The sequence below is a fragment of the Homo sapiens genome, chromosome 10 (assembly GCF_000001405.40).
Source record: "Homo sapiens chromosome 10, GRCh38.p14 Primary Assembly".
Taxonomy (NCBI): Eukaryota; Metazoa; Chordata; class Mammalia; order Primates; family Hominidae; genus Homo; species Homo sapiens.
In genome coordinates this window covers 36,722,034-36,726,610 of record NC_000010.11, presented here as the reverse complement: position 1 = coordinate 36,726,610, position 4,577 = coordinate 36,722,034, and the positions used below count along the sequence as shown (strand labels likewise).

The window sequence follows — 4,577 nt, the reverse complement described above, 5'->3', positions numbered from 1 at the left end:
GTGTCACAAATATCAACTAAAGTCTAGAAATCAGAAAAAGGCATGTTACCAAAGGAGGACTGAGTTAGTAGATTTGGGGCTCCATTAAGTTTTGTTTATGGTCAAAAAACAAACAAAAACCAGGCAACAGCAGCAAAAAATATCTCACTTTCTTCCTGGAAAAGTAAATGAAACTACAAAGGATTTCCAAACTTAAAAACTACACATTTCAAGTCCGCTCATAACTGGTGAAGTCACAGTTTCTAAAAACAATAGTAAAGTTTTAATCGATATGTAATTCATGTTTTTTATTTAAAAACCACTACCAATATCGAAAGACAAATTTCATGGGAAAAGCATTGAATCATTGTTTTGCGGTCACAAAGGTAAATATAATTTGCTTAATGCTGCCCTCAGTTTACAATGCTGTAGTATTTTCTAAGCTATAACATGAGTTTGCCAAAATATAGCATTGATTTGCTACATAGAATTTGCTCAGTGATAAAACACAAAGAATTACTTATGTGAAGATATAAATGATAAATTTATGCAAAATTTAGGAAAGCGTAAATTGTGAAGACAATAAATCTTTCCATTAAATTAGTGGGAAAGGAGCTCAAAACCCAGCCGGGTGATTCATTATTTTAATGACTTCCTGCTTTACTGCAAAACCTCTCTCTTCATTTGGTGTTTGGCAGTTTGAGCCCCTGTTAAGGATTTAGGCTCACAATGAAGCTTCTATAAATTTCTGGATCTCTGTCATGCTGGCATGTAGGTCATTCTCCTTTAGGAATGATGAGGAGGCTGGAAAGCAGTTGCCCCAAGGGAAGGGGGAATTTTTTAAACCTGAGCTGTCCAAGCTCAGCATGAAATGGAGTGGGGTGCTGACTCAGGGGCTGGCAGAGGCAGCCAAGAAACAACCAAATCTGCAATCTCTTCTGCCAGGTCTGTCCCAGCAGGTGTCACTAAAAGGCAGCCCTGTGTTCTTCTGTCACTGTGACAGCTGTGAGAAGGAAGGAGGAAGGGAAAAGAGACCCAGGGCTGAACTCCAAGCAGAGATGGGGCTTTTCTCTCTGCATCTTTTCTTTCCCCTCCCAGCCTGCATTTCCAATAACATATTGATTTGGATTTGTATTATGAGACAAAAATGGTTGTAAGCAGCTATTATTTCCTTTTACACACAATGTAAGCTCATATTTACATTTCTACGTGAACAATGTCTAAAAATGTACTTAAACTGACATAAAACGCGGATGATCTTAGTCTGACCAAATGTTTAGTGCAAGAAAAAACTTCAAATTGGAAGAGGAATCCCTCCAAATTTTAAAAGGACCACTATTTTAAGAGGTATGTTATCTAAAATGTGAAAATGTAACGAGCAGAGCAGGAAAAACCTTTAAGTCCGAAACATACAAGTCAATTTCATAGTCAATCAGTTTCCACGGTCCTTCCAAAACAGCCTCTGGCATCTGTTTTCTCTACAATGGAGGTAACAATAGTAGCTATTTCAGAGCATGAAAAGGCTTAGAGCTGTGCTAGAATATGGTCGTGGATATATAAAATTTAGCCATTTGTATATTGTAACAAACCTACAATGTATTTTTTTATTGGTAGTCAATAATAGATTTCCTTTGGAAAAGAAGCAGCCTCCGGTCCGGGGAACACCTGCAGTTCCCACTAAGTGAACATTGGTGCCTGCTAAATGCTGCCTCTATTTCTCTGTATAATAAAGTGTCAAGCTGTTCCTTGATTTAGCAATTTTATTTACTTTCTTTTTCTTTGTTTTTTTTAGACAGAGTCTCACTCTGTCGCCCAGGCTGGAGTGCAGCAGTGCCATCACAGCTCACTGCAACCTCGACTTCCTGGGCTCAAGGAATCCTCTTACCTCAGCCTTCAGAGTAGCTGGGACTACCTGCGCGGCTCACCATGCCTGGCTAATTTTCGGGGTTTTTGTTTTGTTTTTCTGTTAAGAAACCGGGTTTCACCATGCTGCCCAGGCGGGTCTGGAACTCCTAGGCTCAAACGATCTGCCCCGCTCTGCCTTCCAAAGTCCTGGGATTACAAGGGTGAGCCACCACGCCAGGCCAATTTATTCCTTTCTAATTAATAAATTGACTGGGCGCCAATTTATCATCAGAAAATATGGATTACCTCACTAAACCACCTCTGAAACCTCTCCTCTCGGTTTCCTACATGGTTACTTTGTAATCTTTTTTTTTTTTTTTTTGAGATGGAGTCTCTCTCTGTCACCCAGGCCGGAGTGCAGGGGTGCAATCTTGGCTCACTACAACCTCCGCCTCCCGGTTCCAATCCATTCTCCTGCTTCAACCTCCCGAGTAGCTGGGATTACAGGCATATGCCACCATGCCCGGCTAATTGTGTATTTATTTTTAGTAGAGACGGGGTTTTTCCATGTTGGTCAGGCCAATCTGGAACTCCTAGGCTCAAGCGATCTGCCCTGCTCTGCCTTCCAAAGTCCTGGAATTACAAGCGTGAGCCAGCACACCACGCCGATTTATTCATTTGTGATTAATAAATTGACCGTGTGCCAATTTATCATCAGACAATATGGGTTACCTCACTAAACCACCTCCCAAACTTCTCCCCTCGGTTTCCTGCATTGGTTACTTTGTAAATTTATTTATTTATTTATTTATTTTTTGAGAGGGAGTCTTGCTCTGTCACCCAGGCTGGTGTGCAGGGGCGCAATCTCTGCTCACTGCAACCTTCGCCTCCCGGGTCCAAGCCATTTTCCTGCCTCAGCCTCTCGAGTAGCTGGGACTGTAGTCATGTGCCACCACGCCCTGCTAATTTTGTATTTTTTTTTTTTCAGTAGAGACGGGGTTTCTCCATGTTGGTCAGGCCGGTCTGGAACTCCTAGGCTCAAGCGATCTGCCTCGCTCAGCCTTCCAAAGTCCTGGGATTACAAGCGTGAGCCACCACGCCAGGCCAATTTATTCCTTTCTGATTAATAAATTAACCGAGCGACAATTTATCATCAGAAAATGTGGATTACCTCACTAAACCACCTCCCAAACCTCTCCTCTCGGTTTCCTGAATTGGTTACTTTGTAATTTTTTATTTATTTATTTACTTTTGAGAGGGAGTCTTGCTCTGTCGCCCAGGCTGGAGTGCAATAGTGCAGTCTCGGCTCACTGCACCCTCCACCTCCGGGGTCCAAGCCATTTTCCTGCCTTAGCCTCCCGAGTAGCTGGGATTACTGGCGCGTGCCACCAAGCCCGGCTAACTTTCGTATTTTTAGTAGAGACGGGTTTTCACCATGTTGGTCAGGCTGGTCTGGATCCTGACCTCGTGATCTGCCCACTTCGGCCTCCCAAAGTGCTGGGATTACAGGCATAAGCCGCCGTGCCTGGCCGTAATTTTTTTTTCTTTTCCTTGAGACAGAGTTTCACTCTTGTTGCCAAGGCTAGGGTGTAATGGAGCGATCTCGGCTCACTGCAACCTCCGCCTCCCAGGTTCAAGTGATTCTCCTGCCTCAGCCTCCTGTGTAGCTGGGATTACAGTCATGTGCCATCGTGCCCTGCTAATTTTGTGTATTTTTTTTTTTTGTAGAGACAGGGTTGCTGCACGTTGGTTAGGCTGGTCTCAATCTCCCAACCTCGGGTGATCTGCCCGCCTCGGCCTCCCAAAGTGCTGAGATTACAGGCATGAGCCACCGTGCCCAGCCGCCCGGCCCCATGTTCTTAATTGTTATGTTTCTCTACATCTCTGGCAGGTGGGTTGCCCAGTTTCTTTCTGTTAGAATGTGTACCTCACAGCAGGAGTATGAAGTGAGCTCCAAGGTATCTCTTCTTCCACTTCAGGGATGGCAGTTGGCAAATCATGCATAGTTTATAATAACAGTGCAGAGCAGTTCAGATCTATCAGCCTTGAAGACAGTGAAACATACTCCTGACTCTAAAAATACTCTGACGTGTATCATTGGTTTTCAATGCTACTTGGGTTTTTATCTCTTTTAAGGCATTCGGTATTTTAGCAGAGTTGCATTTGGGTAAAGTAGGAACTTGTAATATTTCCAGGTTAAACATTTTAACCTGGCAATTAACACTGGATGCATATTTTACAAAAAGGAGAAAATGCTATTATTTTGGCTGCTGGCAAAATAATTTTCCTTTGAGACCTGATTTTGTTTGGAACAAGCTTTGATGAGACAGTTTGGGTTAGAAGCTGAGCCTCCAGGAGTTGGGTGTAGACAGGTGGTAGGCTACAGAAAGAGTGAGAAGGTTCTCTTAATCATAGAAGAAGGAGAATAGTTGTACAGAGAAATGTGTGCAGAGAATCCTGAATGTGGACAAAGTAAAAGACAGAAAGAGAGTGCTGGTGAAATTACATGCAGCCTCTTTTTATTAACACTCAAGTTAATCTAGTGTTTTTAAAAATCAGAGGGTATTTAGTATAACTGGATTATTGAAAAAAAATGGTGAAGGAACTACATTTTGCAACTCAGGGACTGGTTGAAACAGAGGGAAAATGGGGTGGAACAAAGCCAGCATGCTCTTCTTCAAGTGCTTCAGGACAGCACCGCAGTGGATCCAGAGACTGCAGCAGTTTATCTGGAGTAAGTCATCACTTTTTAT

The 4,577-nt window shown here is 42.9% G+C and overlaps 1 annotated feature.

Annotated features, from left to right (window-relative positions):
• Positions 650-1,165: an enhancer, noted in NCBI's record as "OCT4-NANOG hESC enhancer chr10:37014374-37014889 (GRCh37/hg19 assembly coordinates)". NCBI's record gives its function as "activates a minimal SCP1, AML or CMV promoter by ChIP-STARR-seq in naive H9 embryonic stem cells {active_cell/tissue: H9 hESC(naive)}" and the evidence as "EXISTENCE:reporter gene assay evidence [ECO:0000049][PMID:30033119]".